We start from the raw sequence: 27,851 nt of genomic DNA, 5'->3' as shown, positions 1-27,851 counted from the left end.
TAAGAAAAATAAAATGTATTATGATTGGAAAAGAGAAACAGAATGGAAATTATTTAGATTATCATTATGTGTAAAATATCCAAAAAAATCTACAAGCAAGCTATTAGAAATAAGTGAATTTAGCTAGGTTGCTGGATACAAGGTCAATATACAAAAACCAATTATACTTCTATATACTAGGAACAAACAGGAATGAAGTTTTAAAATACAATTTGCAATAATACCATGAACACGTCATGCCTCCTTGCCTTGCTCAAGCTTTTCTCCAATTTGGAATGCCTTTCCATCTACCTCCACATGCCTGTTGAACTCTGACATTTCTTTGCAGTCTCCTCAGATTTACCACTTTTTAAAAAGCATTTTCTCTCCCTCCCTGAGTAGTTTTCAAACTTTAATTCACCAGCAAATTTTTTCCTTATAATTAAAAATAACAACTATCAAATACATGAAACTGACAAACATGGAGCTTTCTTATAGAAACAAGGGTAGGAAATAAAACTCAAGAGCCTTGACTTCCCAAAAAACCTCCAGGACAAGGATTGAAACTCATTAATTTAATATCATTAAGCACTCAAATATCCAAATTGAGACTCTTAAAAAATGAAGTCTTTCTCCTTAGAGAAAATGAGTCAGCAGGCAGAAAATTCCTTCACCTCCAAATCACTTATCTGTATTCCCTTCTTTATGTGGGCTTTTCCATCCCTGAAATTAAGGTTAATTCCTCCACCTATGCTATGACTCCAATTTATTTCACAAAAGTTGTTCCTCCCAGCAATGTCTTCTTTAATCTACCCTCAACATGTGCATACATTATTAAACCAGAAATGGTCCCTAAGTCATTCTTCCCTTCAATTATATTTGAAATAGTCTTCAACAGCCTACTTGTTCACCCTCCTTCAGTGAAATTTCTCTTGCCAAAGTCTACAATTATCTCATTTACCAATTTACTCTCCTTATTACTTCCTTTATAGCACCTGACACTACTGCCCATCTGAGATTCATTTATCCCTTGGGTTCAGTGACATCACTCTTCTGCCTTTTCTCCTACATACAGGGCCATTCCTTTTCATCTTTGCACAATTCCTTCATCTACTTCTTGTATATTGATGTTTTCCTGGGTTGTATCCATGATCCCTTTCTCATTCTAATCTGTACATTCTCATGGCCAATTTACATGTGCCAAGCTTTTCACTAACTATATCTTAATTACTCCTAACTCAAGCCATCCAGCTCAAATTGACCTTTTGGGTTTGGATGACTCATTTAACATGTATAAAATCAAACTGTTTACCCCTATATTGCCTACAAGGCATATCACACCACCATCCATCCAGGTAAAGTTAATCTACCCTGTGTGTCAATCACCTTCCCCAATTATTTGATTGCAAAAACTATGCCTTATCTATTCTTACTACATTAGCATGTGCAACATATTCTTCACTGACTATCCTTGCTTGAGCTTAGAGCCTCCTTCACCCATCACTGGAGGCTGAATTCTAGGCTTCAGTCTGTTCAGCAGTCTTCAATCTCCTAAATTCATCCTCTACACATTCGTGCAATACAGTTTCCATCACTTAAAGTCGTTACTTAGTACCCTAAATTTCAGAATAAAATTCAAATTCCTTAGTTTGGCAAGTAAGACCTTTTGTTACCTAGCCACTGCCTTCTTCTCAAGCTTTTCTTTTTCATTACTTCCTATAGATTCTCTACAAATGTAATATGCTGTCACCCACCCACCCTACACCTTTGCATATGTGGCTCCCTCTATTCAGGATCTCACTTCATGAAGAATACCTACTATTCTTCCAAAACTGGGCTCAGACATCATGGTCTCTGGGACACTATTGCTGGTCTCTCCTGGTCTGCTTGGTTAGTCTTCCATATTTCTGCATCCCATGCAAATCTCTCCATTTGTATTCTGCAACACAGCATCACAGCTTAACTATTTATCTGTGAAAACCCCAACACATTATGATTTGCTTACTCCCTTTAACCTCCTCTTCTCCACCCACTCAATTCATGACTTCTTTAAGGTCTGTTTCTTTCTTCTATACAATTTCTAGCGCTCAGGATAATATCTGGCCCAAACTCAGGCTTAAACAAACATTTCTAAGTAAATCAGTTTTGAAATTTACAATTATTTTTAAAGAATTTCCTTTGCAGTCTGAAACTTTTAAAACCCCACGAGGAAAAAAAACTTTTATTTCATAAACTGATTCCTTCTGAAGACTGTCACAAGTGATAGGCTCTTTAAACAATTAGGATTTCATCTGCAGCCAACTAAAAAAATATTAATAGCTTTAACCTTGAAGTGATTGCCTAAACAAACAAAATGCTTCAACCTAAACTATCTAACATTACTGTTCAGAGCATAGCAAGTATGGTTTCATAATAAATATGACTTCAAGACAATAAAGAAAAAATTCTGAAAACAAAACTAGGAAATGTATAGAAAATATGGGAGGCTATTAGATGTTGTTTGGACATGACTACAACAAAGAAGAGAACAGATTTTTTCTTTTTTAATAAAAGCCATGCACGAAGTTTGACAGTAAGTCAGGAAAAGGTAAATTCCAGGCACTAAGAGGTAGTTCAGTTAGTTTTTATCTCTTATTGGTCCTTTGCTCTAATACTGCATATATATATATATTTCAGGAGAAAGTGCGAATGTAGTCCCCCACTACCATAAATTATGCAGTTGAGTTTTCCACATTTTGGGAAATTGAAGGGGTCAGCACATCTGGAGTGCAATGGATAAGCCTTGCCCTGGGAAAACCACCTTCGTGATCATGGTAATCTTCCCTGCCAGGTAAGTATATATTGCATATATTTTTAAGATCAATTGTTTTGTTTGCTATTAAAATGTTTGCTGTAATAAATATGCTTATATTTATATAATAGTAGTTTATACAAATGTTTTTCTAATGAAAAATTCAGCACCTCAGCACCCAGACTTTTCTTTTTTGCATGTCATAGATAGCATATATTATATAAAGAGATTTTATAAACATACCTTTTATCTTACAAATGGCCAATTTCAATGTCTGCAACAGTGAACTGTCTCGGGATATTTTAAAAAGTGAGTGACAAGTATAAAAGCTTTTCCCATAAGTTATTACATAGCTAAAGTTTATTCTTAAAACTTAGTATCTGATGAGAACTAAGAGTTTTCTCATATTCATTATATTTAATAAATCACTCTCAAGCATGTATTCTCTGATGAGTTTTGGTTTAAGGCTTTCACACATGCAAATCGGCTTTTAAGGAGTCCTCTTCAATGTGAATTTTATAATGATTAGTAAGGGATGACCTCTGGCTAAAGAGTTTCCCACATGCATTACATTCATAGGGTTTCTCTCCAGTATGAATTCTTTGATGTGCAATAAGTGATGAGCTTTGTCTAAAAGTTTTTCCACATGTATTACATTTAAAGGGTTTTTCTCCTGTATGAATCCTCTGATGTTGTATAAGAGCTGCACTTTGGCCAAAAGACATCCCACATTCTAAACATCGATATGGTTTCTCTCCAGTATGAATTCTCTGGTGATTACTAAGCGATGAGTTACACCTGAATGTTTTGTCACATTCGTTACACTTATAGGGTCTTTCTCCAGTATGCATTCTCTGATGTTGAATGAGAGCGGAACTCTGTCTGAAGGCTTTTCCACATACTTTACATTTACATGGTTTTTCTCCAGTATGAATTCGCTCATGAATAATAAGTGTTGAGTGGGAGCTTAAGGCTTTACCACATTCATTACAATTATACAATTTCTCTCCAGTATGAATTATTCGGTGTCTATTAAGTCGTGAAATAGAAGTAAAGCCTTTCCCACATTCATTGCATCTATAGGGCTTTTCTCCGGTGTGAATTCTTTCATGTTGAATAAGAGAGGCACTCTGGCTGAAGGCTCTCCCACATTCACTACATTTAAAAGGCTTCTCTCCAGTGTGAATTCTCTGATGATAACGAAGGGATGAGCTAGACTTAAAGGTGTTGCCACATTCATTACATAAGTAGGACTTCTTTCTGAGATGAATTTTCTGACTTCCAGAAAGGGAAGTGCTGTAACTGGATGCCTTCCTGCCTGGATTGTATTTATGGGGATTTTCTTGAGCATGGATTTTTTGATGTATAAAAAGCCCAGACCTTCGACTGAAGGATTTACCACATTCTTTACATCTATAGCATTTCTCCACAGTATGGGTCCTTAAATGCTTACAAAGGGATGCACTATGGCTGAAGGCTTTCCCACATTCTTTACATATATAGGGTTTCTCTCCTGTATGAGTTCTTTGATGTTGAATAAGAGCAGAACTTTGGCTGAAAGCTTTTAAACATTCTTTACATTTAAATAATTTTTCTCCAGTGTGGTTTTTCTGATGTTTACGAAGGGATGAATTGTGAATGAAGGCTTTTTCACATGTACTGCATTTATAGCGTTTCTCTGCTGTTTTGATTTTTGATTGGTTAAGTAAATTTGAATTCTGCTTGAAACTATTTCTTTGTATTTCACATTTTGATGGAGTTTTTTCTTTAGCAAATCTCTGTTGCTTAATGAAGACTGATTTCAGGTAGAAGTTTTGGCCAAATTCAACATTTTTATGGCTTCTATCTACAGTAAGGATTTTTGTATGGGCAACTGAAATTATTTGTAAATTTTCATTTTTGTCCTGCTGTTTCTTTAATTTCTCTTCATATATGCAGGATCTTTCTGATATGAAGTTCCAGGGTTCATCCCTTTTCAATCTTTTCCTTATCTGCTCCTGAAATGAATCCTGAGTTTGAGTTGACTTTGTCATTTTAGGTGTGCTCTTACATCCTGAAAAAAGAAAAAAAGAAAGCAACAGCCCATGATTCATGTGATTGGCTGAGACTAAATGTGTAGAAGGGATTAATTGTATCTCAGTAAGGGTTTGCTATATGACTAAAAGAGGATAAAATTCTAAAAAACACTATATAAAATAATGGATGACAGCTGAACTGATAAGTGAACAAATGAATAAAACAAACTCAGTTAAGGCGGGTGAGTGTGTAAGAGTGACCAAGAGAATGGAGCAGAAGGATCAGAGGAGGAGGAGGCATATGAATTTAGGAAATATAATCTAGTACCCAAAGCCTATGATGGACTCATAAATTACCCCATTCCTGTAATTATTTATACTCCTGAATGTCTTCCCTCCTTTTCCTACATTCTGAACTCCTTTGTATCCTTCAGACTCAGTTCAAATGTTAACTCCTCTGTGTACCTTTTCCTAACTTTGAGTTCCAACAACTCACTCCCCTTATTATAGCACTTATTATAGTACATTAAATGCATTTAAGTAAGGAATAATACACATCTAGAGATGCTGAGAAAATGTTCAGCAAAATTCAGCACCACAGACAATAAACACACTCAAGCAAAAATGAACTGAGGGATACTTCCTCAACATAATAGAATACATAGACCTTTGTCCTAAAGCTAGTATCTATTAAATACACTAGAGCTATTTCTGCTATGCTGAAGAACAAGGCAAAGACACCCATTATTTTCCCTACAATTTAACACTGTACTAGACATATTAACCAATGCAATCAGGCAATATAAATCAATTAGATATGAGTAAAGAGAAAGTAAAACTACCTCTATTTGCAGATAATATTAAAAAGTCCAGAGAATGGATTGAGACCATCCTGGCCAACACAGTGAAACCCCATCTCTACTAAAAATACAAAAATTAGCTGGGCATTGTGGCGCACGCCTGTAATCCTAGCTACTCGGGAGGCAGAGGCAGGAGAATTGCTTGAACCTGGGAGGTGGAGGCTGCAGTGAGCCGAGATTGCGCCTGGGTGACAGAGCGAGACTCCATCTCAAAAAAACAGTCCAGAGAATGAATGATAAAACTCACTGAAGTAGCTGGATATAAAATTGACATATTAAAATCAATAGCCTTCATTTATACTAAGAATCACAGTAAATTTACAAGTAATATGAAAAATCTATATAAGGGAAATTTTATACCAGTCTTGAATGACATTAAAGTATATCAGATGAATGACATTAAAGTATATCTGAACAAATAATCACCTCTCCTATTCTTGGATGTAATAACATTATACAAATGTCAGTGCATTAAGACAAGATACAGATAAGGATTTCTCAACCTCAGATGACATTTTGGGCTGATTTTTTAGTTGTGTGGATAGGGTGGGCTGCCCTGTGCATTGTGGAATGTTTAGCAGCATACTTTTGATCTCCACCCAACAGACATCATAGCACCTGCCCCTCACAATTCCTCCCTCCAGGCTTGCGACAAGCAAAAATCTTTCAAGACATTGACAAATGACAGAATCAGTCCTGGTAGATAATCACTGGAACAGATGAAACAAAAATGATCTTGAGTTGGCCAAGCGTGCTGGCTCACACCTGTAACCCCAGCACTTTGGGAGGCTGAGGCAGGTGGATCACCTGAGGTCAGGAGTTTGAGACCAGCCTGGCCAACATGGCGAAACCCTGTCTCTACTAAAAATAACAAAAATTAGCTGGACTTGGTGGCGGGCGCCTGTAATGCTAGTGACTAGGGAGGCTGAGGCAGGAGAATCACTTGAACCCTGGGGGCAGAGGTTGCAGTGAGCCAAGATCACACCACTGCAGTCCAGCCTGGGCAACAAGAGTGCAACTCCATCTCAAAAAAAAAAAAAAAAAAAAAAAAAAAATGACCATGAGTTGACAACTACTGAAATTGGGTGATGGGCTGGGTACAGGTACAGTGGCTCCTTCCTTTAATCTCAGCAATTTGGGAGGCCAAGAGGATCCCTTGAGCCTAGGAGTTCGAGATCAGCCTGGGCAATACAGTAAGATCCCATCTCTAAAACAAACAAAATAAATTAGCTGGGCATAGTGGCACTCATCTGCAGTCCTGGCTACATAAAAGGCTGAGGCAGGAGGATCACTTGAGCCCAGGAGGCTACAATAAGCCATGATTATCTAATTCCACTCCAGCCAGGGTGACAAAGAGACCCTGTCTTTAAAAAAAAAAAAAAAAGAGGAGGCCGGGTGCAGTGGCTCACACCTGTAATCCCAAAACTTTGGGAGGCTGAGGTGGGCAGATCACAAGGTCAGGAGATCGAGACCATCCTGGCCAACACAGTGAAACCCCATCTCTACTAAAAATACAAAAGTTAGCTGGGTGTGGTGGCGTGCCCCTACACTCCCAGCTATTCAAGAGGCTGAGGCAGGAGAATCACTTGAACCCAAGAGGCAGAGGTTGCAGTGAGCCAAGATCGTGCCACTGCACTCAAGCCTGGCAACAGAGTGAGACCCCGTCTAAAAAAAAAAAAAGAAAGAAAAGGAAAAAAAGAAATTGGATGACGAATACATGGGAAGTCATTATATTATTCTACTTTTTTGTTTATTTATTTTGAGACGGAGTCTCGCTCTGTCGCCCAGGCTGAAGTGCGGTGACGTGATCTCAGCTCACTGCAACCTCCACCTCCTGGGTTCACACCATTCTCCTGCCTCAGCCTCCCAAGTAGCTGGGACTACAGGCACATGCCACCACGCCCAGCTAATTTTTGTATTTTTAGTAGAGACGGGGTTTTGCCGTGTTAGCCAGGATGGTCTCAATCTCCTGACCTCGTGATCCACCCACCTTGGCCTCTCAAAGTGCTGGGATTACAGGCTTGAGCCACCACGCCCAGCCTATTCTCTCTACTTTTATATATACTCGAACTTTTCCATAACAAAACTAAAAATGAAGTTTTCTTCCACTTTCTGTCCTTCCTTGTAACAGGAGTGAGTGGGTTAATCTTTTTCCTTTTATAGCCCATGCCTACTAAGAAAGCTGCAATTTAAAAACTCTGGTTTCTGGGCCAGGCACGGCGGCTCACACCTGTAATCCTAGCACTTTGGGAGGCTGAGACGGGCAGATCACAGGAGGTCAGGAGTTCAAGACCATCCTGATCAACATGGTGAAACCCCCTCTCTTCTAAAATACAAAAATTAGCTGGGCATGATGGCGGGTGCCTGTAATCCCAGCTACTCAGGAGGCTGAGACGGGAGAATGGCTTGAACCCAGGAAACGTTGATTGCAGTGAGCCGAGATTGGGCCTCTGCACTCCAGCCTGGGCAGCTGAGCAAGACTCCATCTCAAAAAACAAAAACAAAAACAACTCTGGTTTCTGCAAAGAAATCAGCACACAGGCTGGGCACAGCGGCTCCCGTCTGTAATCCTAGCACTTTGGGAGGCCGAGGCAGGGAGATCTCTTAAGGTCAGGAGTTTGAGACCAGCCTAACCAACATGGTGAAACCCCATCTCTACTAAACACAAAAATTAGCTGGGTGTGGTGGCACATGCCTGTAATCCCAGCTACTCGGGAGGCTGATGCAGGAGAATCGCTTGAAGCTGGGAGGCAGAGGCTGAAGTGAGCCGAGATGGCACCATTGCACTCCAGCCTGGGCAACAGAGTGAGACTCCAGTTCAAAAAAAAAAGCAGCACACACAAACAACAAGGTCCTAAAAAATATATACTTTAAAAACATACTTTCAGCCGGGTGTGGTGGCTCACACCCGTAATCCCAGCACTTTGGGAGGCTGAGGCGGGTGCATCATTTGAAGTCAGGAGTTCGAGACCAGCCTGACCAATATGGTGAAACCCCGTCTCTACTAAATACACAAAATTAGCCAGGTGTGGTGGTGCATGCCTATAATCCCAGCTACTTGGGAGGCTAAGGCAGAGAATAACTTGAACCCAAGAGGCAAAGGTTGCAGTGAGCCGAGATTGTGCCACTGCACTCCAGCCTGGGTAACAAGAGCAAAACTCCATCTCAAAAAAACAAAACAAAACAAAACAAACAAAAAAACCTCCAAGTGGAAAATTTAAACATTTATCAAATGACAAAATGTATGTTTATTTCTTTTCAGAGCAAGAGTGGAAGTTTATTTTAAAAGGCTTTAGAACAGGAAAGAAAGGAAAGTATACTTGGAAGAGACCTAAATGGGCACCGAGGTTAAGTGCCATAAAATGTACATTTAAAGAGTAAATATCAAACAAAGCCTTCTGGGTAGCTGAAGATAATGATGGATGTGTGACAAGCAACCTATCAAAATCTCTTCCCCAAATGATAAGAATTAACTTCATAACTGTAACTTTTTTTTTTTTTTTTGAGACGGAGTCTCGCTCTGTTGCCCAGGCTGGAGCACAGTGGCATAATCTCGGCTCACTGCAAGCTCCGCCTCCCGGGTTCACGCCATTCTCCTGCCTCAGCCTCCCAAGTAGCTGAGACTACAGGCGCCCGCCACTACGCCTGGCTAATTTTTTGTATTTTTAGTAGAGACGGGGTTTCACCATGTTAGCCAGGATGGTCTCGATCTCCTGACCTCGTGATCCGCCCGCCTCGGCCTCCCAAAGTGCTGGGATTACAGGCGTGAGCCACCACGCCCGGCCTAACTGTGACTTTTATGCAAGACCTCACCCTCAGCATACTACCCAATAGACATCAGTAGCACCTCCCCATCAGAACTCCAGATGGTGGCATACTACTTACATACTTAAAGACAGAAAATGCCAAAAGTGCAAAATAAATGTAAGGTAAAAGAAAAAGTAGATGTCAGGGAAGATGGTAGAGTAGGAAGCACCAAGGTTCTATCTATCCACCTAGACAACTGAGGTGTCAGAATCTGTCTGATACAACTATTTTGAAACTCTGGAAACTATATGAAGGCTTGTAGCTTCTAGGGGAAGGCCTGGCCAGTCAAGTGAAATTAATATTAGTTGGCAGCAGCTACCCATCTCCAATCTCCTCATCTCATGGCTTGAAGCCGTACTAGCATCCCTAGCGTGGCCTTTGGTGGCCAAAGTGGCAATAAAGACCTTGTTCTCCAAATAATGGGGATCTGGGTTCTGACTGCAAATTACTGCTTTGAATCACGGAGGTGCAAACACAAATGCAGGCTGCCATTTTTGCAATCCCCACTGACCTGATGTGGCTTCCAGAGGATTTAAGGAACAGTGCCTACTTTTTTCCCCTTCTGTTCCCCTCTTTTTCTGCTTTGGGGAATCAGACATTAAGGATAAGGACATTTGGCCTGGTGGCTCACACCTGTAATCCCAGCACTTTGGAAGGCTGAGGTGGGCGGATCACTTGAGGTCAGGAGTTCCGAGACCAGCCTGGCCAATGGGGAAATCCTGTCTCTACTAAAAACATAAAAATTAGCCAGGTGTGGTGGTGGGTGCCTGTAATCCCAGCTACTCAGGAGGCTGAGGCAGAAGAATCGCTTAAACCCAAAAGGTGGAGGTTGCAGTGAGCTGAGATCACACCCCTGCAACTCCAGCCTGGGTGACAGAGTAAGACTCCATCTCAAAAACAAAACAAAACAAAACAAAGAACAACTGCACACATGGGGAATTTAGAAAGTCACTGCACAAGGCCAGGGAAAGACGTGGGCTCAGAAAAAAATGTGAGAAGACCTACAGGTTATACTTCAGGCTAATTCCTGGACTAGTGCCACCCTACAGCAATAAGAAAACAAAAACCAAAACAAAACAAAACCCAGCAAATCTTACAGAAGTGGGAAAATCTGATCCCGAGTTGCAACACTGTAAGACAAAAAAAAAAAAAGGCATAAAAAAATAGGAAAGTATGGTTCAGTCAATGGAAAAAAATAAATAGAAAACATCTATGGAGAAGACCAGATGGTGGCATGCTACACAAAGACAACTATCATAAAGATGCTCAGAGCTAGAGGGAAATATGAATGACTCATGAAAATAATGAACAAATCGAAGTATCAATAAAAAGAAAACAAAAAGAAACCAAGAGGAAATTCTAGGAGTTGAAAGCATAATAACTGAAATGAAAATTTCACTAGGGAAATTCAAAAGGTTTAAGCGGGCCATAGGAAAAATCAACAAAGTTTAAGATAGGAAAATTAAAATTCCTTGAGTCTAAGGAAGAAAAAGTAGAAAATACTTAAAAAGTGAACAGAACTTAAGGGCCATGTAGGATGCCATCAAGCAGGCCGAAATATGCATCGTCCTGGGACCCTCGCATGGTCACACCAGCCCTGCCTAGGCTCTCGGGCCAGTAGCAGCTCTGTACTTCCCTAGGTCAGAGCTCCCGAAGGGAGAGGCAGGCTGCTATTTTTGCTGTGCCACAGCCCTCACTGCTGTTGCCCTCAGGCTCTGGAGGGGGCACAGTGATTAGGGACTGGAACAGAACTCCAGGAAGTGCACAGCTGCCTCACAAAACGCGGCCAGACTGTTCCCCACACGGGTCCCCATTTCCACTTCTCCTCACTGGACAGGGCCTCCCGACCTGGGACTCCAGCACAACCATCAAGCCTACCTGAATGCTTCAGTTGGAGGTGGCTCTGCATTTCTCTGAGGAGGAAATCTGAGAGAGAACCCATAGCCCCTCCACCACTATAGCTAAAATGGTACCACACTATCCACCCTTGGGTTGGGAAGGAACACAGGGCCCGGTCGCTACACTGGTACCTCTAGTACACTACAGCCACCATATGGAGATGAGCCCAGTCTCTCTACCTTGTGAGCTCCCATAGCCAACTCTTCACCAGGCAGGGACCCTGGCTTTGGACAGCAGAACAGCCGTCCCTCCCCTGGCTGAGCATTCCCACTGGTAGTGGCTCTGTCTTCCCTGAGGAAGGACTCCCAGAGGCAACTGATAGCCCCTATGCCACTGCCACAGCAGCAGTCCTACACCTGCTGCCCTCAGTCTGGGGAAGAAACAGTGAAGCCTTCATCTGGGCTTCTAGCATGCCACAGTCACCATATGGACAGGAGCCCAGTCTCTTCTCCCTGTGAGAACCAATCCCTGACTCTTCACCAAGTAGATCCCCCACCTCAGGCCAGCAGGGTAGCCACCTCGCCCCTCGGCTGAAGATTCCCAGTAGCAGTGGCTCCATGTTTCTGAGGTGGAGCTGACAGAGGCAACCGAAAGTCCCTCTGTCACTGCCACTGCAGTGGTATTGCCCTTGCTACCCTTGGACAGAGGAAGGAACAAAAACCCTGAGTACTTCAGCTGTACCTCCAGGAAGCTGCAGTTGCCATAAGCAGCAGTCAGTCTGTCTCGCTGGTGACCTCCCTTCCCCTGCCAGCTCCTCCTGCTCCTCACCAGGCAGGGCCTCCTTCCCCATCTTGGGCACAGGGCAGTCACCCACCCTGGGCCGACTGCACTGATTGACAGTGGTTCTGCATCTCTTTAGGGTAGAGGCCCATAGACAAGTGAAAGGCTCTCTGCCACAACTACCACCAACCGGAGTCCCTTCCCCTGTTGCCTCCAAGCTAGGAAGCGAACATAAACCAAGATCACCCCAGAGCTATGGTGGGCAGCCTGGCAATGCTAAGCTGAGATGTGCAGCCAGCACTCGAGTGGGAGAGGAGCCCACATTTTCAGAGCACTGAGGGGCACGGCTGCAATCTTGAGGAAATACAGAGGAGTCACATAGCTGAGTAAGAGCCTACCTACTGGCCATAACACTTAAGCCCATCTACCAGACCACAGCCCAAACTTTAACACCAAAATTACTTTGCTAATATACCCCTCTGTGAAACTAGGACAAGAATTCAGCTACAAATAAACACCCTGCATAAAACACTGGCCCTCTGAAAACATTCAAAAAGAAGTCAACTGACTATACTCAAATTACATCACAGTTAATGAAACATTAAGCTCACACAGATGAAAAAGAACCATCATGAGAACTCTGGCAAATCAAAAACCCAGGGTGTCTTCTTTCCTCCAAAAGACTGCACTAGTTTCTCAGCAAGGGCTCCTAAGCGGCTGAAATGACAGAAACAGAACTCAGAACATGGACAGGAACAAAGATCATAAAGATTCAAGAGAAAGTTGAAACCCAATCCAAGGAATGTAAGGATTACAGTAAAATAATAGAGGAGGTGATAGACAAAATGGCCATGATAAGAAAGAACCAAACTGATCTAATAGAGCTCAAAAACATACTACAAGAATTTCATAATGCAACTGAAATGCAGAACAGACCAAGCTGAGGAAAAAATCTCAGAGCTCAAAGTCTGGCTCTCTGAACTCAGCCAGATAGACAGATAAAAATAAAGAAAAAGAATAAAAACCAATGAACAAAACCTGAGAAATAAGGGATTATGTAAAGAGACAAAATCTACGACTCATTGCCATCCCTGAAAGAAGTGGGGAGAAGGCAAGTAACTTGGAAAGCACATTTCAGGATACTATTGTCCATGAAAACTTACCCAACCTTGCTTGAGAGGCCAATATTCAAATGCAGGAAATGGGCCAGGCATGGTGGCTCATGCCTGTAATCCCAGCAATCTGAAAGGTCGAGGCAGGTGGATCACTTGAGGCCAGGAGTTCGAGACCAGCCTGGCCAAAATGGTGAAACGCTGTTTCTGCTAAAAATACAAAAATCAGCTGGGCATAGTGGTGCACACCTGTAATCTCAGCTACTCAGGAGGCTGAGGCAGGAGAATTGCTTGAGCCCAGGAAGTGGAGGTTGCAGTGAGCAGAGATCGCACCACTGCACTCCAGCCTGCCGGACAGCAGAGTGTGTGAGACTCCATCTCAAAAAAAAAAAAAGAAAAAAAAAACAGAGGACTCATATGATGAAAACTACAAACACTGATGGAAGAAAATAAAAAAGACCTCAATAAATAGAACGACATATCATGTTCACAGATTGGAAGACTAAACACAGAAAATTGATATACAGGTTTACTGCAATTCCTATCAAAATCTCAGCAAGATTCTTTTTGTAGAGATTGATGATTATTCTAAAATTCATACAAAGAACTACAGTAGATAAAACTTTCTAAAAAACAACAAGAAGTAATCACTTTACCCAACATTAAAGCCTGTATATATACAGCAATCAACACTGTGTGGTATTGGCAGAGGAACAGAAACACAGAACAATGGAACAGAAAAGAAAACCCAGAAACAACCCAACACGCCCAAGTGACTTTTGACAAAGGCACCAAAGAACTCCGCAGAGGAAAGACGACTTCAACAAATAATGATGGAGCAACTGAAGATTCGCATGCAAAAAAATGAACCTCGCATCTAACACAAAAATTAACTCAAAAAGTGTCATGAATATAAATGTAAAATGTAAAACTACAGCACTTCTAGAAGAACATGGCAGAAAATCTTCATGATCTAAGTACAGGCAGAATTCTTACATTTGACACCAAAAGCACAATCCATAAAAGGAAACACTGATCAACTGGACCTCAGTAAAATTAAAAATTGTGTTCTTCAAAAGAACCAGTAAAAACGATAAAAAGACAAACTACAGAGTAAGAGAAAGCATTTGTGAACCACATATCCGGCAACTACTATCCAGCATATATAAAGATCTTTCAAAACTCAACAGTAAAAAACTCCAAAATAACTCAACTAGAAAATGAACAAAATACCCAGACATTTTATTAAATAAGAAACACAGGCCAGGTGTGGTGACTCACGCCTGTAAGCCCAGCACTCTGGGAGGCCGAGGTAGGCGAATCACTTGAGGTCAGGAGTTTGAGACCAGCCTGGCCAATAAGGTGAAACCCTGTCTCTACTAAAAATGCCAAAAATTAGCTGGGTGTGGTGGCATGCACCTGTAATCCCAGCTACTCGGGAGGCTGAGGTATGAGAATTGCTTGAACCCAGGAGTCAGACATTGCAATGAGCTGAGATCGCACCGCTGTACTCCAGCCTGGGTGACAGAGCAAGACTCTGTCTCCAAAAAATAAAAAATAAAAAAAAGGAAATACAAATGGCAAATAAGCACATGAACTATGTCAAACATCAACAGATGTTAGCAACACACAAATTAAAATCACAATGTATTTCACCATACACCTACCAGAATGGTTAAAATAAATAGTAGTACCAAGGCAAAATATTGGCAAGGATGTAACAACATTGGATCATTCACATGCTACTGGTGAAATGTAAAATGGCACAGCCACTCTGGAAAACAACTTGGCTATGTCTTCAAAAACTAAACCTACAACTACCCCATGACTCAGCAATTCCACTCCTGGGCATTTATCACACAGAAATAAAAACTAATTTTTGCACAAAAACCTGCACATGAATGTTTATAACAGCATTATACTTAAATGCCAAAAACTGTAAATAATCCAGATGTCCAACAAGGGAATGGCTATACAAACTATGATATACTCTATGGAACACGACTCAGCAATTAAAAGAAATGAAGTACTGATGTATACAACTACACAGATGAATTTCCAGAGATTTATGTTAAGTGGGGCAAAAAAAAAAATCCCATAACGTTGTACACATTTTATTATTCCATGTATATGACATTCTTGAAATGATAAAATTATAGAACGGAGAACACATTAGTGATTATCAGGACTTCAGGAAAAGAGGCAGGGAACAGGGGCAGTGAACAAGAGGGAAACAGGTGTGTGTAAAAACGGATACCAGGAGGGATCTCTGTGCTGACTGAAGGGATTTTTCTGTATCTTCACTGTATCAATGTCAGTATCTTGGTTGTGGTATTATACTATGGTTTTGGAAATGAGTATAAGGGACATAGAATCTTTCTATACTACTTCTCACAACTGCATATAAATCTACTATTATCTTAAAATAAAAAATTTTCTAAAAAAAGTAAAATTCCCCTGCAAAGTAAAAATATCAAACTCATACCATCCTCCAAATCTAATCTCCTTCCAGTGGTAGTATCTCATTGAATGACACCGGCCATCCCAGAACAAACCAGAAACAAAACAAGCATCCCTGACAACCCTATCTCGTTTATCTTCCACATCGAATCCAAGTCCTGCTGGCTGTATCTCCTGGACATCTCTGGGACTGGTTCACTTCTTTCTGTCTCCAACACCACTAACCTAGTCCAAGTCACTCGTGCATTCATTATACAACTGGACGCCTACCCTGGCCAGGGACTGTTTTAGGTTCTTGGAAAACAGGAGTGAATGAATGAGGCAACCCCTCCTACAGCAGCTTACAATGCAGAGGCAGAGACAGATCATGAAGAAACAGGTCTATTACACAGCGCTAAGCATGGAGAGGGAAAATAAAGCACGGTGAGGAGATGGCGTGGGGGCTGCAGGGCTGCGTGTCAGATGATCTGTGCCTGTGTGAGCCGAAGCCAGTGCAGCACAAGGAAGTGAGTGAGCCACATGGACGCATGACTGCCACGAAGAACAGTCCCAGACAGAAAAAAGCAGGGCAGAGGCCCTGAGTGGGGGCCTGCTTGGCCCCCCTGACAAACAGCAGGGCGGCCAAGGGTGATCAGAGGCCTTGAATGAAGGGCAGAGTGGAAGGAGCTAAGGGTGAAGAGGTAGCCAGGGCCAGACCATGTAGGTCTCTGAAGGCCATGATGGGGACTTTGGGCTATACTGTATGGGATGGAAACCAACGGAGATTTTGAGCACAGAAGCAATATGGTTGATTTACTCTTTAAATAGATAATTCTGGAAGTTATGAAGAGAAGAGATGTTGGTAGGAGGGGAGGGGCAGGGCATATGTACGAGTCTTTGCTGGCAAACAAGAAAAAGACTAACTCATACAAATTAAACCGGACTATACTGGGTAGGTGCGGTGGTTCAGGCCTATAATCCCAGCATTTTGGGAGGCTGACATGGGAGGATTGCTTGAGGCCAAGAGTTCAAAGAACAGCCTGGGCAGCATAGCAAGACCTCCATCTCTACAAAAACAAGTAAAATGCAATAGGGCTACAGGGCATTGTGGCCACACTTCCATCTTGTAAGCAGTCACTTTTTAAAACATTCCAGGCCATGTCATCAGGGCTGTTGCTAAGCCCCACAGCATCCTGTGCAAATCAGGAAAAGACAGTCCTCCCTGTGTGCAGTTGCTGCTTCAGCAAACCTTGCTGAGCAACCCCTCCGTTCACCACCCTGCACCATTCAGCCTACCCAAGATGGCTTCTTGCAGTAAGAAAACAAAGCAGGCCGGGTGTGGTGGCTCACGCCTGTAATCCCAGCCTTTTGGGAGGCTGAGGGGGACAGATCATTTCAGGTCAGAAGTTCGAGACCAGCCTGGCCAACATGGCAAAACGCGGTCTCTACTAAAAAAATGCCAAAAATTAGCCCGGCATGGTGGCGTGTGCCTGTGATCCCAGCTACCGGAGAGGCTGAAGCACAAGAATCGCTTAAACCTGGGAGGAGGGCACTGCAGTGAGCTGAGAATCACGCCAATGCACTCCAGCCTGGGCAACAGAGCAAGAGTCCATCTCAAAAGAAAATAACTTTGTACAAGTATATTTTGAGGCTACTGGAGGTTCGAGAGAGTCCTATCATGGGGAGCATAAGTTTTTCTATCACTGGCTGTTCAAAGGGTAGGTTTTTGTCTAAAATATTTTTTTTCTTTTTTAAAGTTATATAAACACAGACAGGGTCTATGTTACCGAGGTTGGTCTCGAACCCCTGGGCTCAAGTGATCCTCCCACCTTGGCCTCCCAAAGTGCTGGAATCACAGGCGTGACCCACCTCACCCAGCCTACAGGTTGAGTTTTTGGTTCGAGCTAGAGTTAATAATCTGAGATAATTCCAGGAACATCCCAGTCCTTCAACCACGCTCTCAATGAAGTGAGCACTCATGGGAAAAGGAAGCTGTCCTGGGGCAATCTTAGTCCAGGCAGACAGGAGCCCCACCAGGGGTGCAGCAGAGATGCAAGCACGTCAGCACCCTAGGAATGCCATCTGACTTCCATCTGACAAAAGGAGGACGAAGGTCATCCCACCAAGAGCAATCGGGCAGGAAACAGCTCTGACGTCCTTTCTTACTCAATCAACTGCTCAGGGTTTTCCCGCAGGGCCATCCTCCCCAATCTGAAAAGGGACTGACTGACAACACTATCAGGTGCCCGGCATCCCTCTGGACAACTCTGCACTCGTCATATTTTCAGCCTGTTAATACTTCTCTCTAGAGGGGAGACTTACTCAGCCATCAGGTGCTCCCTAGTTAAAGGGAAAGGGAACAACTCTTTCTTTCTTCCTGCTCTTCCACACAAGATTCGGCCCACACATAATGGCCAGACTGACGCCCCTCTTAAATCTCACCTGGTTCCCTGCTGCTTGCATTCGGCTTACTTTGTGGTGGTCTCTGGCAGTTCATTAAATTTTAATTTAATATAAAATTAGTGTATTTCTACCAAAGGAGATTAAAAACACAAGTGTGGTTCCCCTTTTTAAAAAAAAAAGTTCAAGCTATCATCACGAGAAAGCTCTCCCCAGCACAGGGGCTATGGGGACCAAAGCTGCCTGCCGTGCAGCTCCTCGCTGGGCCCGTGGCACAAGGGGCCATCACTGAGCCCTCTGGACTTGACAAGCCCTGCACTGTGGCGGTCAGGTTCCTCACATGCGCTGGCAGCTGCAGAATGCAGCCTGGGCCTGCCCTGGGCTACTTATGGCTCCTCAGAGCCTATGCTTAGCTCTCAAGCACCAACCAAACTCTATGACAAGGCCCGCGGCTCTCTTCGGTGCCTGGCTCTACCTTCTCCTCACTGGCTTTACTTCTTTGGACCTTCACGAACACCATTCTTTTTTTTTTTTTTTTGAGTTGGAGTCTTGCTCTGTCACTAAGGCTGGAGTGCAGTGGCGCGATCTCGGCTCGCTGCAAGTTCCACCTCCCGGGTTCACGCCATTCTCCTGCCTCAGTCTCCCGAGTAGCTGGGACTACAGGCGCCCGCCACCATGCCCGGCTAATTTTTTGTATTTTTAGTAGAGACGGGGTTTCACCATGTTAGCCAGGATGGTCTCGATCTCCTGACCTCGTGATCTGCCCGCCTCGGCCTCCCAAAGTGCTCGGATTACAGGCGTGAGCCACTGTGCCCGGCCACAAACACCATTCTTTAGGCCTGAGCAATTCTTCAGTCCTTTGATCCCAGGCCCTTCCACAGGGAAGCCTTTGCTGATGCCACCTGCCTGCTCTGCACTCTCACAGCACCGAGTGTCTTTCCCACGTGGTCCTCACTGGAATGTGTCCTTCTGTGCCTTGTGTGCAATGAGTGTGTTCACCTTGTCCCCCACTAGATCGTGCACTCCAGAAGCAGGAGACCTGTGTCCCTTTCTGCCCAATGCTATACAAAGCTGTGGGCGAGGGTTCAACCTTGATCCCCCAGAGCCAGAGCCCCCCCAGTTCAACCACTCTCAGTCCCCCACTGCCACGATGGCCCCTCCCCGTTTCTCTCCTCTGATTACTTCTCGGGCTCTGTCAGATTCCTCCTGCTTAAGCACCTCGCAAATGCTGTTTCCTGAAATTCGGGCCTCCACTTGGCCCCCTCACCTGGCCAGCTCCAAGCTTCTAATGCCCGTCATGCTGATGGGCTCCCTGACCTCCCTTGAGTCTCGGCCCTGTCACTTACACACCTGCCCACCAGGGTTCCCCACCTGACGACTTCACTCACATCTCAAGTGAAATCCATCCCACACCCAACTGCTCCTGTACCCTGATCACGTGGGCGCCACCTCCTCCCTCACGAACTCACGGCAAGTGCCTTCATCCAGGCCCTTCCACCTCCTGCCTCCCTCCATGATTGCAATTGCTCTGCAAGGCTTCCTGCCTCTAGTTTTGCCTCACTTTCAATCACGATACTCCCAAAGTGACCATCTGTATTAAATTCGAATCACATAGCAACGTCATGAATATATTCTCTTTGTGAAAAATTAAAATGTTACATGTAAATAACATCCCCTTCCATGGACCCATTCTCAATCCCATTCCAAGTGTAACTAATGTCACCAGCTAAGGTGTGTCCTCCTAACCTTTCTCTCTGCTTATGTGCACATTACACATACATGTAATTTTCATTAGACATAAATGGTGGCGTCCCAACAATGCTCTGTAACTTTTTGGGAGCTCTGTCCACGTCCCTGGACTCTTGTTTTCAGGGTGGTGATGCTCACCAGAGTAAGGACACGCCACAGGTCCCTTAGCTGTTCTTACACGGATGGAGACTCAGCTGTTTCTGATTCACACCAACTTTTCTAAGATACCAAGGACCATATGATTCCTGCCCAAATCCTTCCATTATTTCCAGTGCTCCATGGGACAGTTTCCACCTCTTACAACTGTGCCCAAGCACTTACTACGCGGCCCTTCCCTAGCTTTCTAGGCTATTTCCTTCCTCACCTCCTCCTTTCCCAAATACACCCTGAGCTTCAGCCAGAGTGATTATTTGAAGTTCCTTAAATATACTATGTTTGCTGAATGAATACATGCAAATACAGCCCTATTCTAAAACAACAGGAAAGAGTAAGAAAAGAGATGCTGAGAGATTCATGGGGAAGTGATTACAAGTGACTAATCCTGCCTAAGAGCCTGGGCTTCCGCTTCCCCACCACTTCTTGAGGCCTGAGAATTCTCAAGGGAGTTTCCCAACCAATGTTCCTACCTCCTCTCATTAACCAGACCATTGTCTGCGGCCATTCCCGAGCACCTCGGGCCACCCACTTACCTAGAGAGGAGACACCAGAACTGTCTTTCTCCACCTCCCAGGGATCTTCTCCTTGCTGCAACAGGGAGATGACTTTTGGTTTGGTAAATGAGAGTCCTGCACATAAACAACAACAACAACAAAAGTCTCAGTCTTCGTTTTGACACAACAAAGTATCCCTTGATTATTAGGGTAACCGTGGCTTTTCTACAGAAGGAATGTTGCATGTATGATGTAATTAAAACTTATAAACTGGCATCTATAGAATGATCTATCAAGTAACTTTTTTTAAAATGAGAAAACATCGTATGATTCCCTTTTGAAGATGGATTTTACAAGATTCATCTGGCTGCAAAGGAGCAGTGGGAAAGGCAATGGTAGGTCGATGAAGAAGGATGAGGTAAGCCCTCTGCTGAGAGGTGAGCAAACAAACCACAGAACAACCAAAGCAGGAAAATGCTGCCTGAACTATGAGAGAATTTCTAATGTGAAATTGTGCAGCAGGAAGGGGATAATTATCAATACCCACCCGCCAAGACATAGAGCAATTCCATACTTATTAGGAGAAAGTTAAGTTATCAATGTTTATTTACAGAGATCTGATTTGTACAATCCTCAAACTGAGCTCAAATTTTTCAGTGATCAACTGCTTTTATTCAGGGAAGGAGGTGCTGAGATATCCCAATTTTTGAATTCTGTTTCTAGAGGGGAAATTTCCTTACCCAGTGAGACCAGGTTCCTATAGTTCTCCAGCATCACATCCCGGTACAAGTTTCTCTGAGAAGGAGCCAGCTTTCTCCACTCATCCCAGGTAAAGAGCACAGCCACGTCCTCGAATGTCAGTGACACCTGTAAGGACAAGTCGTTCCAGCTCACCCAGGACCACCCTCACAGAGTGGAGGGGGCGGCAGTGGGGAAGACACGCTACCCGTGAAACACTTCTCATACTATTCAAGCTTCTGAAGGTTCCAGGTCATTCCTTTAATGAATAATTGGCCAGTAACAAATGTATACTGAGCAGCACACAGTGAGATTCAGGCCTAGTGCAGCCACTGTAAGAAATGGGTAGAGGAATTACGGCCATTAGTGGGACCCTTAATTAGAATAATCTTTCGTTGGCAATTTTATAATACATAAGAACTTAGAACTATGTATAATCTTTAACTCACCAATTACTGTAAGAAACAGTGCACAAAAATATAAGCACAAGGATACTTATCATGGTGTTAGTAGCAAAAAAAAACAGGAAACAACCTAAATACTCACTGATATAGGCTGGGTTAAATAACTTACGGCACTACCTGTGTGCTGATTCAAGCTTGAGGATAATAATGATGAAAATCAGAACACCTCTCTTTTACTGAATGCTTTACATGGGCCAGACACTATATTTAGAGCTTTGTATTAATCATTAGTATATACTGTATCTAACCTTCACAATTACCTTATGAAGAAAATAGTTATCGTTCCCATTTTACATCACAGAAAGCAAAGTCACTGAGAGGCGAAGCAATTTGTTTAAAGTTGGCTGGGTGCAGTGACTCATGCCTGTAATCCCAGCACTTTGGGAGGCCGAGATGGCTGGATCACAAGGTCAAGAGATCGAGACCATCCTGGCCAACATGGTGAAACCCTGTCTCTACTAAAAATAACAAAAATTAACCAGGCATGGTGGTATGCACCTGTAGTCCCAGCTACTCAGGAGGCTGAGGCAGGAGAATCGCTTGAACCCGGGAAGCAGAGATTGCACTGAGCCGAGATCATGCCACTGCACTCCAGCCTGGAAACAGAATGAGACTCCATCTCAAAAAAGAAAAAAAAAATTCGTCTAAAGTCACACAGCTGTTCAGTGGTAGAGCGGGGATTCCAATCCAGGCAGATGTCCTGGGCTCCATTCAAAAGTACTCTAAAACTGCCTCTCAAAATCTACCACATACTTAATAAAGAAATAAGTTCATCTGCACAATGCACTTAAAACCATATCGGGCTCACATTAAAGGTTCCAATGTCAGCTATTATCACATTAATACAAACAAATATTAGGCAATCATTAGAGCTGATGGTATAAATTGCTATTTGTTGACATAAAAAGACATCCATGAAAATGTTAAGTACAAAGCAGGTTATATATCACTGTTTCGAGTTTGTCCCCATTCAAAAAAATGTTTCTGGCCAGGTGTGGTGGCTCACACCTGTAATCCTAGCACTTTGGGAGGCCGAGGCGGGTGGACTGCCTGAGCTCAGGAGTTCGAGACCAGCCTGGGCAACACGGTGAAACCCTGTCTCTACAAAAATACAAAAAATTAGCCGGGCGTGGTGGCATGTGCCTGTAATCCCAGCTACTCGGGAGGTTGAGGCAGGAGAATTGCTTGAACCCAGGAGGCGGAACTTGCAGTGAGCCGAGACTGCACCACTGCACTCCAGCCTTGGTGATAAAGTGAGACTCCCTCTCCAAAAAAAAAAAAAAATTTCTACATACATAAAAAACTATTGAAACATTCAATAAACTGAATGACAGTGATTATCTCCAGATGGTGGGGTTAAGGGTGATTTTATTTTCTATTGTACATATGAAATATATAGAGTACACAGTCGTGTGTCGCATTAACGATGGAGGTACATTCTGAGAAATGCATTGTTAAGCCATTTCATCATTATGGGAATATAAGAGAGAAACCTGGATGGTATGGCCTCCCACACACCCGGGCTATATGGTACAGCCTGTTACTCCTAGGCTACAAACCTGTACAGCATGTTACCGTACTGAATACTGTAGAGAACTGTAAGACAATGCTAAGTGTCTGTGCATGTAAATATATTTAAACATAAAAAAGGCATGGTACGCTACAGCATAAAACAGAAGAAATGGTACACCTGTATAGGGCTCTTGCCATGAATGGAGCTTCCAGGACTGGAAGTCGCCTGGCTGAGTAAGCAGTGAGTGAATGTGAAACTTAGGACACTATTGTGCATGACTGTAGACATTTTAAACACTGTACACTTAGGCTACACTAAATTTATTTTTTTAAAGTTTTCTTTAACAAATTGTCCTTAGCTTACTGTAACTTTTACTTTCTAAACTTTTTAATTTTTTCAAACTTTGACTCTTTTGTAGTAACACTTATCTTAAACACATTGTCTAGCTGTACAAAAATATTTTCTTTCTTTATATCCTTATTTTATAAGCTTTCTCCTATTTCAAAAGCTTTTAATTTTATTTTTACTTTAAAAATTTTTTTGTTAAAAACTAGGACATAAATATGCACATTAGTCTAGGCCTACACGGGTCAGCATCAACACCACTGTCTTCCACCTCTCCACCCTGCCCCACTGGAAGGTCTTCAGGGGCAATGACACACATGCAGCTGTCATCTCCTATGAGAACAAAGCTTTCTTCTGCATACCTCTCAAAGAACCTGCCTGAGGCTGTTACAGTTAACTTTTTAAAAAACAAGCAAAAGGAAGACACTGTAAAATAACAAGAATAGTACAATAAATATATAACCCAGCAACACAGTCAGATATCATCAACTATTATGAACTGTACAATCGCATATGCTGTATACTTTTATAGGACTGGCAGGCTGCATGGTAGGTCTGTTTATACCAGCATCACCACAAAACAGGAGCAAAGCCCTGCACTATAATGTTACAATAGCTACTTAGTCATTAGGAGACAGGAATCTTTCAGCTAGGTTTTAATCTTATGGGACCACTATCACATTTATGGTCTTTTATTGACCAAAATGTCATTATGCAATGCACAACTATATAAACATACACATACATATGCACATATATATACACACGTATCCATAAACATACATATATATACACACACATATACATATGTATATATATAAATGTTTTATTCTCTAAAATTTACACCATAACCCTGCAATATTTTTATGGTGAAAAAGAGCATCAAATTATCTGCATATTGGGGAAGAGTACAAGACATGATCTTTGTTCTCAAAGAATGTATAATCTGACTGGCGGACTAGAAAATGCATGAAATAATTTGAACCACTGTGTATCTGCATAGAGCCCTGAGACAAGAACACAAGGTCCAGGGCAGCCAAGATCCCAGGTCATGTGCTTTGCTAGAGGTAGCAGCAAGATCATAACTCCGGTTTTCTAATTGTGAACTCTGCACTCTCTGGTCTTAAAATTCCCTTCACTGAATTTTACACACAGGTCTACACATTACTGACGCATGGCAAGCAAGAACAGACAGGAAGGATGCCACAGAGACTCACCCACACACAGGGATGGAGAAGGTTCTAGTCAGGAGAGCAGCTTGGCTCTGTGAGAATGGAATAGGAATGCCTTCGAGGACAAATACCAGCTCAAATGCACAATAGCCTGTTCTGGCCACACCCTCAGCTCCCACTCCACTGTCTTGGCTAGTTTAAAAGATAACGCCGCCAGGCGCGGCGGCTCACACCTTTAATCCCAGCACTCCGGGAGGCTGTGGCTGGTGGATCACGAGGTCAGGAGATTGAGGCCATCCTGGCCAACATGGTGAAACCCCGTCTCTACTAAAATACAAAAAAAAATTAGCCGGGCGTGGTGGCACATGCCTGTAGTCCTAGCTACTCAGGAGGCTGAGGCAGGGGAATTGCTTGAACCAGGGAGGCGGAGGTTGCAGTGAGCCGAGATCGCGCCACTGCACTCCAGCCTGGGTGACAGAGCAAGACTGCCTCTCAAAAAAAAAAAAAAAAAAAAAAGATAATGCCACGCTGCAGAAGCACTCTGGTATCGCGTGGCTGCATCTGCCCATACTCTGAAAGACGCACCACAGGGACGACTGGGTGGTCCGACGGAACTCAGAGCCAGGCATACTTGGACTGTACTCAGGTTACTTAACTTTTCTGAGCCTCAGTTTCCTCACATGTAAAACAAGAATTGTAATTGTTGTGCTACTGTGCGAGTGAGAGAACAAATGTAAAGCCCTCAGCCCATTCCCTGGTATGCTAGACACTCGGTGGACATTAGTATTGTTAGATAAAAAAATGAATAAAGGATAACATCGTCTGGGTCCTAAACACATTGTACAGCAGTTTCTATCTACCAACATTAACATTAATATATTAAGACAATAATGTCACTCAGCAAACACAACCACCATATGCTGAGCAGTAACTACTCAGTGCCCAGCCCTGATCCGAACACTTTCCACACACTAACTCATGTGATCCCTTCATCTACGCTGGGAGGTGGGCACGGCTGTTATTCCCATTTTACAGGTGAGAAAACTGAGGCACAGAGAGGTGAAGCCCAAGGCCCACAAACAGCAACAGAGGAGATGGGTTAAAACGCTGCCATCTGGCTTAACAGCCCTACTTCCTAACTACCACCTACGCTGCCTCTGCACTATTGCTATCCCATGAAACCCTTCCTGCCGCTAGCTGAGGGGTCTTCTGTGTCCTGCGAGTCAAGCGACCTCTCCAACTCTGTTCACTCTCGTCTCAACTAGAAAGGGTGGCCTCCTCATTCCCACTACACAAAAATGAAAACGGTCTACAATAGATTTCAAGACAGTGATACAAGCAAAGAATATGATTCACAAAGTTAAGAGGGACAAAAAACTAACAACGATGCGTTGGAGAAGCCTGGGGAAGGGGTGGTGTTATGAGGATTCTCAGGGGTGAAAAGAGAAAGTATTCCTGCGAAGGACAGGAACGGAGACATGGGTGAGTGGAGGAGGCAGGGATTTTTCCCACGTGTGTACGTTTGCTCTTAGTGACAGACAGACTTGTGGTATCTTACTTGTCAAACTAGTCACACAATGGATGAAGATTCGTGAACAAACTGTTAATTAAAAACCACTAGACACGGGTGGGGAGGGTGGGTGGTCCTCCCTACAGAATCCACCAGTCATGAGGGCGGACCAGCTCCTCCAAGAGAAAAGGACTTGGGCTCCATCCTGGCTGGAGATGGTCCCGGGTGAAGAACTCCAGTTAGTGGGGAAAATCCATCCACTGGGATCTGGGAGGGCAATGAGCTCACCTGGGGCCTCGCTTCCCGCTGCCCAGCAGCCATGTCCTCTTTCTGGCTCTCCCGGGAGGACGGCGCAGTCTCCAGAAGGCAGATCTGAGAAGAAAAAGGGAGCCAGGAAGAACCCCTTCTGCTTTCCAGCCCTGGAATCCGCAGCTCTAAAACCCCGACTCCCGCTGAGAAGGACCCCGCGCGCCCTCACAGGGATTCGGGAGGAGCCAGGAGCCCGCGGACCAGAGCAGCGCTGGGCCGCCCGGCCAGGCCCAGGCCCCACAGGCTTGGGGCTTACGGAGGGGACGCTGGACCCGCAGTGGCAGCAGCGACCCGCTGAGCCCACCAGGGCCAGGGCTCGCCCCACGCCGCTGAGTTCCTCGGCGCCAGCTGGCACTGCCAGCACCCACTGCACCGCTCAGGAAACTGAGGCAGCGCCGGGGCACCTGCCCCGTTCACGCCGCTGCGAGGCGGGCCGGGACTCCCACCACGACGGCCCCGGGACGACTTCCCTCCGCCTCAAGCCTTTCCCAGCCGGTTCCTCTCTCTCCCGCCAACGAATCGTCTCCCGACTCCACGGAAAACGGCTTTGAAGAGGAAAGCGCTGGGTGTCCCGAGGCAGGAGGAGTGGCCGTCCTGGGGACTGACTCAGAAACCGGGCCCGGCTGCCTCTGCCCTGCGCTCGGGGTCCCGGCGCCCCGAGTCCGCGAGGCCCACACGGCGCGCGCAGGGTGGGCCCGGGAGGAAACGCCTGGCCCCGCGTTCACGGCGGGCGGCGCGAGCCAGAGGCAGGGGCGTCGGCAGCGGCACCGGAGCGGCCCGTGAGGGGCGAGAGTCCAAGTCCTGGCGCGGGGGCCGGTGACAGACGCGGGGGTGCCCCCCCGCGCCCACAGAGGCCCTCGGAGCCCCGCGGCCTCAGGTCGCCCTGGCGCCAGGCGCCGCCTCCTCCCGGCACAGCCAGCCATGCCGCTCACCTCCCCAGGATCCCGCGTTCCCGGGCCGCGCCTCCCCGCCGCACTCTGCAAGCAGGAAGCTCCAGCCTCGTGACCCGGCTCCTCCGACGTCTGGGCGACCTCAAGCCCGGCGCCGCTCACCGGGCAGCGAAAGCTCCGCAGAGCGCCTGGGACCTAGAGGAGCAAGGCGGCCGCTAAGGCCTCTAGGAAATGGAGTCCACGGGAGGACGCTGGCTTTCTGGGAAGTGTAGTTCCACGCGTTTGAGGCGAGGTCGCAGCTGAGCTGTTAGGCGCCCAGACCTATGAGAGGGCCCGGGTGAGCTGTAGAGCCCCGGGTTCCTGGTTCTTCGGAAGAGAAGGGGAGGTTCCCGGAGGGCAGTAACTTGCAACTCTGTGTGTGAATTTCAGGATGGCGTGGGCGGCACGAAAACAACTACTACACAATTGGGAAAGGAAAATCCCCTGCAA

The 27,851-nt window shown here is 44.5% G+C and overlaps 1 protein-coding gene, 1 long non-coding RNA gene and 1 pseudogene across 2 annotated transcripts, besides 4 other annotated features; 1 reads left to right on the top strand and 2 right to left on the bottom strand.

The window, feature by feature from the left end:
- Positions 1–2,511: 2,511 nt before the first annotated feature.
- On the bottom strand, positions 2,512–27,579 carry ZNF354B (zinc finger protein 354B). Its single transcript, NM_058230.3, has 5 exons — positions 27,405–27,579; positions 26,452–26,535; positions 21,162–21,288; positions 20,461–20,556; positions 2,512–4,823 (listed from the first exon to the last, which is right to left on the bottom strand). The coding sequence occupies exons 2-5, from the start codon at positions 26,482–26,484 to the stop codon at positions 3,241–3,243; spliced, it is 1,839 nt and encodes a 612-aa protein (NP_478137.1). The 5' UTR covers positions 26,485–26,535; positions 27,405–27,579; the 3' UTR covers positions 2,512–3,240.
- RNU1-39P (RNA, U1 small nuclear 39, pseudogene) lies at positions 2,653–2,817 on the bottom strand (annotated as a pseudogene).
- Positions 11,476–24,807, top strand: LOC107986493 (uncharacterized). The gene is made up of 3 exons (XR_001743039.2): positions 11,476–11,487; positions 13,183–13,186; positions 24,499–24,807. It is a non-coding gene; the product is annotated as an uncharacterized LOC107986493 (long non-coding RNA).
- Positions 26,997–27,729: an enhancer, noted in NCBI's record as "H3K27ac-H3K4me1 hESC enhancer chr5:178286804-178287536 (GRCh37/hg19 assembly coordinates)". NCBI's record gives its function as "activates a minimal SCP1, AML or CMV promoter by ChIP-STARR-seq in primed H9 embryonic stem cells {active_cell/tissue: H9 hESC(primed)}" and the evidence as "EXISTENCE:reporter gene assay evidence [ECO:0000049][PMID:30033119]".
- Positions 27,013–27,092: a silencer, noted in NCBI's record as "silent region_16725". NCBI's record gives its function as "represses an Ori minimal core promoter by ATAC-STARR-seq in GM12878 lymphoblastoid cells {active_cell/tissue: GM12878}" and the evidence as "EXISTENCE:reporter gene assay evidence [ECO:0000049][PMID:35858748]".
- Positions 27,173–27,372: a silencer, noted in NCBI's record as "silent region_16724". NCBI's record gives its function as "represses an Ori minimal core promoter by ATAC-STARR-seq in GM12878 lymphoblastoid cells {active_cell/tissue: GM12878}" and the evidence as "EXISTENCE:reporter gene assay evidence [ECO:0000049][PMID:35858748]".
- Positions 27,513–27,712: an enhancer, noted in NCBI's record as "active region_23747". NCBI's record gives its function as "activates an Ori minimal core promoter by ATAC-STARR-seq in GM12878 lymphoblastoid cells {active_cell/tissue: GM12878}" and the evidence as "EXISTENCE:reporter gene assay evidence [ECO:0000049][PMID:35858748]".

Source organism: Homo sapiens, chromosome 5 (assembly GCF_000001405.40).
Source record: "Homo sapiens chromosome 5, GRCh38.p14 Primary Assembly".
In the NCBI taxonomy this organism is placed as follows: Eukaryota; Metazoa; Chordata; class Mammalia; order Primates; family Hominidae; genus Homo; species Homo sapiens.
Note: the sequence above shows the minus strand (reverse complement) of the source record. Positions and strands in the feature narration are given on the sequence as shown.